Source organism: Homo sapiens, chromosome 17 (genome assembly GCF_000001405.40).
Source record: "Homo sapiens chromosome 17, GRCh38.p14 Primary Assembly".
Taxonomy (NCBI): Eukaryota; Metazoa; Chordata; class Mammalia; order Primates; family Hominidae; genus Homo; species Homo sapiens.
This window is the reverse complement of record NC_000017.11, coordinates 30,944,044-30,957,348: the sequence shown is the minus strand read 5'-3', so window position 1 is coordinate 30,957,348 and position 13,305 is coordinate 30,944,044. Positions and strand designations below refer to the sequence as shown.

Genomic DNA, 13,305 nt, shown 5'->3' with positions numbered 1-13,305 from the left:
ACACCAGCAAAGGAGAGAAAAGTGGAGGGACAGAGACAGAGAGAAACCAAGAGATTCATAAATGGCAGCCCACAGAGAAAAGAAAGCACCAGCTGATATGCCTCACTCACAATTTGCAAGTCCCTTTCTGAGGTTCTCTGGCTTTGGCCTTTATGGGACAGTCAAGAGAGTCTGTGTTTATATCAGTCAGACTCAAAGGGCACAAGTGTTTCCCCCAAGGGGCTGTGCGGGGGTCACCTGCTCAGTCTGTACTTTTCCAAACACAGAAATTCTCCTTTGTGCCCCAGAAGCCAGGTCCTGGGCCAGCAGTTTCCTGCCGGAGCTCGGCATGTCTCCCCTTTTTTCACAGGGCTGTCAGCATTGAGGAAGCCCTACTGGTAAAGAGGAGGAACAGGAGAGAGGCAGACAGAAGGGAGGACTCAAAGAAAAGAAGCCACTAGAAATAGCCTTCCCTCTGGAGTGGGGAGGAATCCAAAAATCCCAGGAGCTGCCCAGCGGGTGTGACCTTAGCTAATAATAACAGGCCAGCGTTTTCTCACGAGAAAAAGGATCAGCATAGAGCACGGTGGAGGGAAAGAGAAGCTGCTTAGCCCCCACACCGCAAGGGGTACAGACAGCACCCAGGGGTTCTGCCAGGGCCAAACTCCTCTAAAAGCTCCTGGGGAAGGGCTCGGTTAGGGGAACCCAGAGTGGACAGAGGAGACCTTTTGGCAATAATGGCATGTCTGTGCTTTTCTTTTGCAGGAAGAGAAGACAATGAAAAGAGCATAGTCAGGAATCAGGAATCTTTTGTGGTATCAAAGCTGAACCTAAGTGAAGAAGCAATTTTCTGTCCTCTGCCCTTGTCCAAAAGAACACCCCTCAGTTCCTGCTTCTTACTAAGCCGGTTGAGGGGCGTCAAGGGGCTGGACAGGACACCCCGCAAACTTTCCAGCCATTCCTGCTGTTCCTTCTCACTGGGGCAAGTGAGGACAAATCTCCGCTCTGGGGTGACAATGGTGAGTCCGGCTTTCCAGCGATTTCCTCGGATGCCCTTGGGCAGGTCTTCGTAGGCTTCATATCCCTGCTCCTTGTTCCCAAGAAAAACCTGGCCCTGCTCGAAGGCATCCTGAAAATGGAGAGTACAGGGTCATCAGAGGGTGCCCCCAGGGCAGAGGGGCCCTGCAGCCCTGACAGCCTCCAAGCTTTATTTTGGGAAAGGGGTATGAGGTCCCTGCTGGGATTTCTGCTAAGTGGGACCCAGAATTTGAAAGATCAAAACCCTAAAATAAATCATACACATCATCTATTGAAAAGATACCGAGGGTGGGCCTGGTAGTTCATGCCTGTAATCCTAGCACTTTGGGAAGCCAAGGCAGAGGATTGCCTGAGGCCAGGAATATGAGACCAACCGGGACAACATAGTGAGACCCCTTCTCTACAAAAAAAAATTATTAATTATTATTATGAATTGTTTTTGGAGACAGGGCCTCACTCTGTCACCCAGGCTGGAAGTGCAGTGGCACAATCATGGCTCATCCCAGCCTCAACCTCCCAGGCTCAGGCAATCCTCCCACCTCAGCCTCCCAAGCAGCTAGGACTACAGGCATGCACCACCACACCTGACTAATTTTTAAGTTTCTTTTTTTTTCTTTCTTTTTTTTTTTTTGAGACGGAGTCTCACTCTGCACCCAGGCTGGAGTGCAATGGCATGCACCCTCTGCACCCTCTGCCTCCCGGTTTCAAGCGATTCTCCTGCCTCAGCCTCCTGAGTAGCTGGGCTTACAGGCACGCACCACCACGTCCGGCTAATTTTTGTATTTTTAGTAGAGACAGGGTTTCACCATGTTGGTTAGGCTAGTCTCGAACTCCTGAGCTCGTGATCTGCCCCGCCTCAGCCTTCCAAAATGCTGGGTTTACAGATGTGAGCCACCGTGCCTGGCCTTAAGTTTCTTGTAGAGATGGGATCTCACTATGTTGCACAGGCTGGTCTCGAACTTCTGGGCTCAAGCGATCCTCCTGTCTCAGCCTCCCAAAGTGCTGGGATTACAGACAAAAGGCAGCACATCCAGCCCTAAATTTTTTTTTTTTAATTAGCTGGGCATGGTGATGCATGCCTGTATTCTGAGCTACTTAGGAGGCTGAGGCAGGAAGATAACTTGGGCCCAGAAGTTCAAGGTTGCAATGAGCTGTGATTGTGCCACTGCATTCCAGCCTGGGTGACAGAGAGAGACTCTGTCTCTAAAAAAAAAAAAATAAGTGATACCTAACATTTACGGAGCACTTATTAAAATCAGCATCAGGAATTACAATGCTTTATATATAGTAACTTAAATAACCATCATGGCAACCTCTGGGGAAGGCATTCTTATTAAGCCTGTTTTTCAGAGGAGGAAACCGAGGCACAGAGCACTAAGTACACGGCTCAAGGCAACACTACTACAAGTGGCAGGGCTGAGACCAGAGCCCAGACGGTGGGGTTCTAGAGTCCACCACACTCCTAACTACTACACATCACGGCCTCTTGGTTAGAAGTGAGCCCTGGAGACTAGAGGAAGAGATACACCATATTTAACTACCATGGGCAGCATTTTGGATACTCATAATAGACTTCCTGAAAGCGAGGAGAAGCTTCATGCCATAGGAGATTACTCAAGAGAAACAAAAACAAGGGGTAGAGGTTTTCCTCTCAAGGTTTCTCTAGCTCTGGGGCTCTGGGAGATGTGTTTATCTGTAGCTTTCACATAGTTCCAGACAAGCACCACCCAGCAATGTTTGAGGAAGCCCTGGGGAGGGAGCAGGAGTGGCTCTTACCAGTGGGTTCTTGTAATAGAGCAGCCTCCGCTCATGGCAATCCAGGGCGAACCACCTTTTCTTGAAAGGTTCTTTCTGCTGCAAAAGAGGGAACTTCTTACCACAGATGACCAGGTCAGTTTCTGAGGATAGAGGTCAGGGGCCAGCCCAGCCCAAACCAAAGGAGCTGGCCAGTCCCACTGGTTCTCCAGCCCAGCCTCCTCAGTCAGACATCCTAGTGCTTCTCCCTGGGGCCTGGATAGGAGCCCTCAGGCTCTGAAGGTTCTGCCCATTCCCCTTCCAACCCCACCATACCCTTTGCCAGCTTCACCCTGCTGCCTCAACTTGGAAGAGGCACCTTCCTCTTTTTCAGGCTGTAGACAAAGAAGCCGGAAAGGAAGTTGGAAAAAATCAGAAGTGGCTACTGCTTGGCAAGGCTGAAAGTGCTGGCCTTGGCCAAATTCTAACCTAGGTCAGGGAGAGAAAGCCCAGCAACAAGAACCAGGCGGAGGGGCTGCGCCTCTCTGAAAACAACCCTTTGACTGCTTTTTCCACCTGCCCAAGGCTTGCTTTCATGATTGCCTAACACAGGAATATCCAATCTCTTGCCTTCCCTGGGCCACATTGGAAGAATTGTCTTGGGCCACACATAAAATACACTAACACTAATGATAGCTGATGAGCCAAAAAAAAAAAATCGCAAAAATATCTCATAATGTTTTAAGAAAGTTCACGAATTTGGCTGGGCATGGTGGCTCATGCCTGTAATCCCAGCACTTTGGGAGGCTGAGGTGGGCAGATCGCTTGAGGTCAGGAGTTCGAGACCAGCCTGGCCAACATGGTGAAACCCCATCTCTACTAAAATTACAAAAATTAGCCGGGCATGGTGGTGGGCACCTGTAATCCCAGCTACTCAGGAGTCTGAGGCAGGAGAATCGCTTGAATCTGGGAGGCGGAGGTTGCAGTGAGCCGAGATCACACCACTGTACTCTGGCCTGGGTGACAGAGCAAGACTCTGTCTCAAAAAAATTTAAAAAAGAAAGTTTATGAATTTCTGTTGGGCATCATTCCAAGCCGTCCTGGGTTGCATGTGGCCCATGGGCTGTGGGTTGGACAAGCTTGGCCTAACACCTTTCACTGTCCTCTTAACAATCATCCCATAAACACATGAAACCTTCTATATACATTAAACCATATTAAGTTCCCCAGGGAGTGATAGAAGGTACCTTTGGCCCAGTCTTTTCCATGAAGCCTTGTTTGAGGTAGTTCCTGGTGAGGAATGGCACGAGCTGGGGAAGAGAGACAGACACTGACCCCCAACTCACACCCCAAGGCTCCAGGTTCCCGCCGAGCTTGGCTCCCGACAAAGGGGAAGTTTGAAATGGGGAAGGATGTACGCTCATGGCTCACAGTATTATATTTGGAAAGTGCAATGGTCATAATATTAATATTTCAACAAAGCCAGTCGACAGCACCCCAGATGTTTGCAGAGCTTAGTGGCACGGCCGAGTTTTGGTTTAAGGATTCCTTCAGTAACCCCAGGGTGTGGACATAGGCAAGGCTCTGCAGAGACCCTCTTGGTGTCAGGCAACATGTTCTGAGGGTCCACTTTGCATCAGGCTCCAGGTGCAATTCTCAATCACCCTGCGAGGTGGGTATCACCAGCCTCATTACACATCTGAAGAAACCAGGCCACAGAGAAGGGGCTGGGGATTTTCCCAAAGTCACATCACTGGTAGCACAAAGAGCTGAGATTCAGGCCCAGGGCCAATGACACTAGACTGTACTCCTACCACTACACTAGGTGCTAAAGTATAAATATGCCAGGGCCCTCTGAGCAGGACCTTGGGAAAGGCCTGGTCAGGATTCTGACACCAAGCAACAAGAAAATAATGGCCAGAGGCTGGGTGCAGTGGCTCACACCTGTAATCCCAGCACTTTGGGAGGTCAAGGCAGGCAGATCACTTGAGGCCAGGAGTTTGAGACTAGCCTGGCCAACATGGCGAAACCCCACCTTTACCAAAAATATAAAAATTAGCTGGGCATGGTGGCACGCGCTTGTAATCCCAGCTACTCAGGAGGCTGAGGCAAGAGAATCCCTTGAACTTGGGAGGCAGAGGTTGCAGTGAGCTGAGATAGTGCCACTGCACTCCAGTCTGGGTGACAGAGGGAGACTCCATCTCAAAACAAAACAAAACAAAAAAGAAAAGAAAATGATGCCAGAGTGGACAGAGAAAGTTCTGAAGCAGAAGTCGGGAGACCTGGTTCTAATTCCAGTTCTGGCCTCCATCAGCTGCATTACCTTTGTTAAGACCTTCTGTCTCTCGAGGCCTTATGTCTCCCCTGTGTGATAAACAGCCTGGATCATGTGATCCCCAGCATCCCTTCCAGCCTGGCAGCCTACGCCCAGAGATGTTTCCAGGGGTTGATGATGGCCTCCTATGCTCCTAGGCATCAACCTGGAAAGTCTAGAGCTTCAAATGACAGTCCAGGCTTCAAAGAACAGAGAGGCTTCTCCAGAGCTCCAGGGCCCAGGGCAGAGGCACAGGGGAAGTGAGGTCTGGGGAACAGCTATGGGAAGTTTAAAAGGGGGAAATTTGTGAGCCAAAAATGAAAATATTAGGCCAGGCGCAGTGGCTCACGCCTGTAATCCCAGCACTTTGGGAGGCCGAGGCGTGTGGATCACGAGGTCAGGAGATCGAGACCATCCTGGCTAACACGGTGAAACCCCGTCTCCACTAAAAATACAAAAAAGTAGCCGGGTGCAGTGGCGAGCGCCTGTAGTCCCAGCTACTCGGGAGGCTGAGGCAGGAGAATGGCGTGAACCTGGGAGGCGGAGCTTGCAGTGAGCCAAGATGGCGCCACTGCACTCTGGCCTGGGCGAAAGAGCGAGACTCTGTCTCAAAAAAAAAAAAAAAAAAAGAAAAGAAAAGAAAATATTGGTCAGATGCAGTGGCTCACACCTGTAATCCCAGCACTTTGGGAGGCCGAGGTAGGAGGATTGCTTGAGGCCAGAAGTTCGAGACCAGCCTGGGCAACATAAGTGAGACATCATCTCTATAAAAAATTAAAAAAAAATTTTTAATGTAAGAAACAAGATATAAACTGTACTACTCCCCTTCTCTTAAAATACATTCACTAGGCTTTAATTGTTCCATTTGGAGAAAACAGATGGAGTCCCGAACTGCTCAATATTCGGAATTTGAGCCAGCACAGAGCAAGCAGAGGCCTAGGGAAACCATTGGGAAAAAAAGGAAAGTCACATGGCTGGAGCACTGCTTCCTGTACTTCTGATGCCTTGGCTCGCTGGAGTCTCACAATAGCCCTAGAAAGTAGGTACTATCACCTAGGCAAGTCACCTCACCTCTCTGAGCCTCGATGCACTCATCTGTCACCATGGCGACAAAACCTACTTTCTCTGAAGTCCAAGAGACCATATGCATTTATTACAGGACCACAGACCCCACTGGGATGCCCTGGGTTTCCAACATGTGGACCCCTAAAGCTTGAGCCAGGCCTGGTGATTGCTCAGAACCTCACACCATACACAGACATTAAATGGGAGGAAAGACACGGGATGGATATCAGGTACCGACAGTGGATGAGAGAGGCAGGGGAACATTGAGGATGTTGACCAAAGAGCAATTTCCTTTACACATGTCAGCAAAGATGGGCAGCTTGCCCAGATTAAATAAGGCTGAGCATCTGCACTTTGTCCTCCCTCCTCATAGTCAGCAGTCAGCAGTCTCCACTCCCCGCCCATGGGAGCCAGCATTAACCAGTTCTGGGTGCAAACTCAGCAGACTGACTCAAGGGCTCTGACTCGGGCCTTGCTGGAATTGCTCCCAGAGAGCTGCCATCTCAGCACATCCCTGGGCCTGGAGGGGACCCTATTCCAGACAACTGGCTCCCTACAAACCTTGGAATTAAGGAGCATTTAGGCTTTCAAGGAAACTCTAATGGTTGAGATTAAGAAAATCCCAGCATTAAAATGGTTTTCCAGCCCCATCACTTATAAAATCCTCTTGGAGGGGAGCCTCTTGAAGAGGACCAGAGCATAGAATCTCAGAGGCGGAAGGGACCCTGAAGATGACCTGGACTAACCGCCATCTTACCCATATGGAAATAGAAGCTCAGAGGGGTGCCAGGACCTGCAGGGGTCACACAGCAAGTGAGCAATAGAGCATCCCTGAGAGCCCAGGCTTCCTGGCTCGAGACAGCATCCTCTGCCCTACACCATGCGGGTCTCCCTGGCCCAGCCTGAGATAGGGAGATGAAGGCCCCAGAAGTCTGGAGACAATCAAAATGAAGTTCTCGGCTCCCCATGATGTTGGCCATGAAGGGCATACCTGCTCCTGTTACAACTGTAATGGAGAGGATCCCAGGCTTTCCCAAGCCCAGAGCATCACAGGGCAAAGAGGGGATTTTAGAAAGGGAAGCACACCTTTGGTTATTCACCTGCCCTTCCTGGGACTGTATAACTCATCAGTGAAATGGAAATAATCACCCCTGCCTGGCTGCCATTTCACAAGACAAAATGGGCTCAAAGCACTCTGTAAGCAGTATGTTAGGGATCATTTGTACATTTTAGAGGGAGAAGGGTTCAGAAAGAGATGACCAATTGCTGAGCCCCTTGACACTCTTCTGAAGGGGAGACACTGACCAGCTTTTGGGAGGCCGCCTTGTCGTATGTGAGGCTGTAACCCCCGCAGGCTCCCCTGGAGAATGCCTTGGGCTTCCCTCTGAGCAGCCCAGCCCTCAACCTCGAGGTCTTGCCTGCAAACAAAACTAGTCTGGCTTCTTCTTCTTTTTTTTTTTTTTTTTTTTTGAGACGGAGTCTCACTCTGTCACCCAGGCTGGAGTGCAGCGGCGCCATCTGGGCTCACTGCAAGCTCCGCCTCCCGGGTTAACACCATTCTCCTGCCTCAGCCTCCCAAGTAGCTGGGACTACAGGCGCCTGCCACCACACCTGGCTAATTTTTTTGTATTTTTAGTAGAGACGGGGTTTCACCGTGCTAGCCAGGATGGTCTCGATCTCCTGACCTTGTGATCCGCCCGCCTCAGCCTCCCAAAGTGCTGGGATTACAGGCGTGAGCCACCGCGCCCAGCCCTAGTCTGGCTTCTGAGTGTCTTCGAGGTCAACAGACAGGGAAAGAAGGAGATGGCCAAGAGGAGATTCAGAAATTGGGGTCCGCATTTAGCTCACCTCAGACTCTGGGAGTTCAGGAAAGGCCATTTTTAGGTACTGCAGACGGGCTGCACGGAGGGCATTGAACCAGTCCACTATCTCCTGCGGAGAGAAGTGCACAGGACACACACACAGCAGTGAGATGGGGTGGGTGGGAAGCTACCTCTGGTGGCGGGAAGCTAGCTGGGCATTGGGTGTGGGGCACATATATTCAGCACCTGCACACACCCCACAGCTCGGCTCAGGGGCATCCAGGGAGGATTGTGTCAGAGCCTCGTGGGCTAACCCGGGCAAGCAGGAAGCCTCTGACAGGGATAACCCCAGAGCCCTGGAAAAGGATTGAGTGAACTGCATGGGAGTTCTGCAATGGCCTCGGACAGTGCTTTTCACCTTCTAATGCGTGCAAAATCACCTGAGGCTCTTGTTAAAATGCAGAGGCATATCCAGTAGGTTTGGAATGGGGCCCAAGACTCTGCATTCCTAACACGCTCTCAGGTGATATGATGCTGCTAGTCAGTGGAATGCACTCTAAGGAGCAAGGCTCTAGGAAATCATTGTCCTCAGATGTCAAAGATTGGCATTTGGGTGGGGAGCAGTTATGCCTGGGGATGCTCCTCTAATGAGGATGCTCATGGCAACTTAGGCCAAAGCTGGCTTGGCCCCTTCTGCTGTCACTCTGAGAGAACATGTCCCTCAGCAGCCTGGGCCACCTTCATCTCCCACATAGACAACCATGTATCTAGCTGGCCTTGATCAGCTGCTCTCTGACTGGCCCTCTCATGGCAGCCTGAGTGATTTTCCTTTATTTATTTTTTTTTAGATGGAGTCTCATGCTGTCGCCGAGGCTAGAGTGTGCAGTGGTGCGATCTTGGCTCACTGCAACCTCCGCCTTCTGGGTTCACACCATTCTCCTGCCTCAGCCTCCCGAGTAGCTGGGACTACAGGCGCCCACCACCACACGGCTAATTTTTTTTTTTTTTGTATTTTTAGTAGTGACAGGGTTTCACCACGTTAGCCAGGATGGTCTCGTGATCTGCCCGCCTCGGCCTCCCAAAGTGCTGGGATTACAGGCGTGAGCCACAGCGCCCAGCCTGTAGCCAGAGTGATTTTCTAATTACAAATCTAATCAGTCTGGCTTGGAGTCCTGTCTACTACCCTCAGAAAAAAAAGTCTTAAGTTCTTTACTATGATTTTGCTGTCTGAGCTCCTTCCATGCAAAACTATTTGCAATTCTCCCAACACCTACTGTTCCTTCCTCTCGGGACATTCTGCTTAGCCCGCTCCATCCCACACACACCTTTTACGCAAAACATTCCACTTATCCCGCAGGTTAGTTTTGATGTTGTAATAGATAGATTTTTGGTGCTTGCTCAGCCCAAGCCCTGCTTCTGTGAGAACTACCCCGCCTATCTTCACCCAACCCCAGTTGCAGCCCCATTTACTGCTGTGATCCTGCCCCTGCTTAACCACAGCAACTGGACCAGGCCTGGAGCAACACAGAGGCTGGACTGGGCTTATCAGATTCCTTCTCCCAGGAATTTGGAATTGGGAGGCTAAAGGCTTGTTCAAATAGTGGTAGTTTGTGACTTTGATATAATGTGGTGATTGAGAAAGTCATCTGAATATGGTTTAAAAGGAATGAAACCATTTCTCTTTCTCTCTCATAGGCGAAGCACACAGGCCTAGTATTCCAGGGATCTGTGCTCTCTTGTCCTGGGGTTCATTAAGGACCCTCTGGCCAGGTGCAGTGGCTCACGCCTGTAATCCCAACACTCTGGGAGGCCGAGGCGGGTGGATCACCTGAGGTCAGGAATTTGAGACCAGCCTGACCAACATGGTGAAACCCCATCTCTACTAAAAATACAAAATTAGCCGGGTATGGTGGTACATGCCTGTAATCTCAGCTACTCAAGAGGCTGAGGCTGGAGAATTGCTTTAACCTGGGAGGTGGAGGTTGCAGTGAGCCGAGATTGCACCACTGCACTCCAGTCTGGGTGACAGAGCGAGACTCTGTCTCAAAAAAAAACCTTAGGTCTCAGACACTAAGGGAATGGGGCCAGTCCAGAAAAGACACACCTAGGCCTTCACCTTGGAAGGTCTCTCCAGTCATAATCTGGTGATCCTGGTGCCAAATCCAACCTGCATACATGTCTGTTTGCTCCTAAAGTTTTGTTTGTTTCAATCCTCCATGCAGGTTTTCCTGTTTGCCACAGCCCCCTCCCCATCCCTTATGCCTGTCCATTTAGCTTTTAAATCACCCCCTGACTCCTGCAGGCAGGAATCTGGAGCCCTCATTTATGCCCATCTAACAGACAGGCTGGGGCATCAAGCAAAAGAGAAGAATGGCCAGACCCAGGTTGTCAGATGCACCATACTGGGCAGATAGGAGGGAGCTGGGTATCCTAAGTGCCAGAGACCTTGGGTGCCTCAGTAAAAGTCCTTATGGCAGTGATTGGCATGGAGAGGGGGCTAGGGCCATGGTGCTAGGGGCCCCTTAGGAAGGTCTAGTCCCTGCATCTGGTTCCTGGCTCCTGCTGCCAAGTGTCCTTCCTACAGCAGAGGCACATGGCAGGTAAAGTGGGTGCAGGGCTGTGACCCTGAGCAAGTTACTAACATGTCCGTGACTCAATAATGTGGGGCTTGTTTTCAGGATTAAGAAATGATGGACAGCAATCACCAAAAGCAGTGCCCAGGGGAGTTAATAGATGGTCACAAAATGTCAGCACCCACCTTCATCCACCCCCACTCAGCATCTCTGTCCCCTGCCTAGTTATGTGACCCTGCTCAGGACCTGACCCAGCTTATTCTGTTATATTGGCTTATTCATCTCTGACTGGGCAGATTTCCTGGACTATTAAATAGTGCTTCTCAGCCGGGCGCAGTAGCTCACCCCTGTAATCCCAGCACTTTGGGAGGCCAAGGTGGGCAGATCACTTGAGGTCAGGAATTCAAGACCAGCCTGGCCAACATAGTGAAACTCTGTGTCTACTAAAAATACAAAAAAATTAGCTGGGTGTGATCTCAGCCACTCGGGAGGCTGAGGCAAGAGGATCGCTTGAACCCTGAAGGTGGAGGTTGCAGTGAGCCGAGATCACGCCACTGCACTCCAGTCTGGGCAATAGAGCAAGATTCCATCTCCAAAGGAAAAAAAATAGTGCTTCTCAAACTTTAATGTGCACAAGACTCACCTGGGATCCCGTTACAATGCAGTTTTTTTGTTTTTTTTGTTTTTTTGAGGTGGAGTCTTACTCTGTCACCCAGGCTGGAGTGCAGTGGCGCCATCTCGGCTCACTGCAAGCTCTGCCTCCTGGGTTCACGCCATTCTCCTGCCTCCGCCTCCTGAGTAGCTGGGACTACAGGCACCTGCCACCATGCCCGGCCAATTTTTTTTGTATTTTTAGTAGAGACGGGGTTTCACCGTGTTAGACAGCATGGTCTCGATCTCCTGACCTCGTGATCCGCCTGCCTCGGCCTCCCAAAGTGCTGGGATTACAGGCGTGAGCCACCGCGCCCGGCCTCTTCTTTTTTTTTTTTTTTTTTAATGCAGTTTCTAATTTGGTAGCTCCAGGGTGGGCCTCAGACTCTATTTTTCTTTCTTTCTTTCTGGTTTGTTTTGTTTTGTTTTGTTTTTTGAGACAGGGTCCTGCTCTGTCACCCAGGCTTGGAGTGCAGTGGCATGATCATGGCTCACTGCAGCCTCGACCTCCCAGGCTCAAGCGATCCTCTCACCTCAGCCTCCCAAGTAGTTGGGACTACAGGTGCATGCCACCATGCTTAGCTAATTTTGGAGGTATTTTTGGGTAAAGATGGGGGTCTTACTATGCTACCAGGCTGGTCTCGAACTCCTGGGTTCAAGTGATCCACCTGCCTTGGCTTCCCAAAGTTCTGGGATTACAGGCAGGAGCTACCATGCTCAGCCTTGAGCTCCTGGGTGATGCCAATGCTGTTGGGCCAGGACCACATGTTGAGAAGCAGGGTCCCGGGGTGCACTGCTGCCTGACTGTCCATCAGTTCCTCCCCCGTATTCAGAACCTCTGGCCCTACCTGGCTTTGCATCCCTGGGCATAGTCCCTTCTGTAACTGGACTTTCATTGGTGGCTGTGCACTGTCCAGATATAGCCATGGTACTTGCCAGGTTCCTCTCCCTGATCTCACCCTGCCCTCCTCATATCTTTATCTCAGACTGGGAGGCAATGATAGATTAAGGCAAATGGTAGCAGAAAATCTCAAGAGGCAGCTGAGCACAGCACCAGTGAGCAGGGGAGGTGGTGAGCTGCACCTGCCAAGTCCTGGGGTGCGAGCTGGAGGCGGAGGTGGCAACTCCAGGCATCTCACCTTCCCACTTTCATGATACACAAACAGGTTCCTGGTGTGGCCATCTCTCCTGTAGGTGATCTGCAGCCCATGGGGGTGCCCTATCTTCTCTGTCTGGAAGGTGGCATTCAAGTCCTTAATGCTGATGACAGCTTTGGGGCTTTTACCCTGAAAGAGAGAAAGAGAAAGAAAGACGCTGACAGTCCACAGGGTGACTTCTGGTCAACCTTCACCAAGGCCTTCATGCAAACAAGCATCAATCTGTAAATATATGGGTTTTAAATGTTCTTGCTCTCATATCGAAATTCAGATACTGGCCGGACGCAGTGGCTTACGCCTGTAATCCCAGCACTTTGGGAGGCTGAGGTGGGTGGATCACCTATGGTCAGGAGTTTGAAACCAGCCTGGCCAACTTGGTAAAACCCCGTCTCTACTAAAAATACAAAAATTAGCTGGGCGTGGTGGTAGACACCTGTAATCCCAACAACTCGGAAGACTGAGGCAGGAGAGTGGTTTGAACCTGGGAGGTGGAGGTTGCAGTGAGCTGAGATCGTGCCACTGCACTCTAGCCACCACACCTGGCTAATTTTTGTATTTTTAAGTAGAGACAGAGTTTCGCTATGTTGGCCAGGCTGCTCATGAACTCCTGACCTCAGGTGATCCACCTGCCTTGGCCTACCAAAGTGCTGGGATTATAGGCATGAGCCACTGAGCCCAGCCTATCGTTCCCTTCTTTGTGTCCATGTGTACTCAATGTTTAGCTTCCATTTATATGTTAGAACATTTGGTTTTCTGTTCCTTTGTTAGTTACTTAAGATAATGTTCTCCAGATCAATCCACGTTGCTGAGAGAACATGATCTCATTCTTTTCTTTGTTTTTATTTTTGTTTTGTTTTGCTCTTGCTGCCCAGCTGGAGTGCAACGGCGTGATCTCGGCTCACTGCAAACTCCGCCTCCCAGGTTCAAGCGATTCTCCTGCCTCAGCCTCTCGAGTAGCTGGGATTACAGACGTGTGCCACCACACCCAGCTA

General features: G+C 50.4%; 1 protein-coding gene across 9 annotated transcripts in view, besides 1 other annotated feature; it reads right to left on the bottom strand.

Moving 5' to 3' along the window:
- ADAP2 (ArfGAP with dual PH domains 2) overlaps nucleotides 1-13,305 on the bottom strand; it is a 37,378-nt gene that overhangs the window by 1,974 nt on the left and 22,099 nt on the right. For 4 of the 9 annotated variants that reach the window (NR_144488.2, NM_001346712.2, NM_018404.3 and 1 more), the window contains 5 exons: nucleotides 12,296-12,442; nucleotides 7,979-8,062; nucleotides 3,999-4,061; nucleotides 2,794-2,871; nucleotides 880-1,108 (listed from right to left, as the gene is read on the bottom strand). Coding sequence is in view for 8 of the 9 variants with exons in the window: in NM_001346712.2 (NP_001333641.1) it covers nucleotides 880-1,108; nucleotides 2,794-2,871; nucleotides 3,999-4,061; nucleotides 7,979-8,062; nucleotides 12,296-12,442 (601 nt within the window). In the remaining variant the exon portion in view is untranslated. The remainder of the gene's footprint in view (nucleotides 1-879; nucleotides 1,109-2,793; nucleotides 2,872-3,998; nucleotides 4,062-7,978; nucleotides 8,063-12,295; nucleotides 12,443-13,305) is intronic. The other 5 variants (XM_024450834.2, NM_001346716.2, XM_024450832.2 and 2 more) reach the window with 3 other exon arrangements.
- Nucleotides 86-135: an enhancer, noted in NCBI's record as "active region_12003". NCBI's record gives its function as "activates an Ori minimal core promoter by ATAC-STARR-seq in GM12878 lymphoblastoid cells {active_cell/tissue: GM12878}" and the evidence as "EXISTENCE:reporter gene assay evidence [ECO:0000049][PMID:35858748]".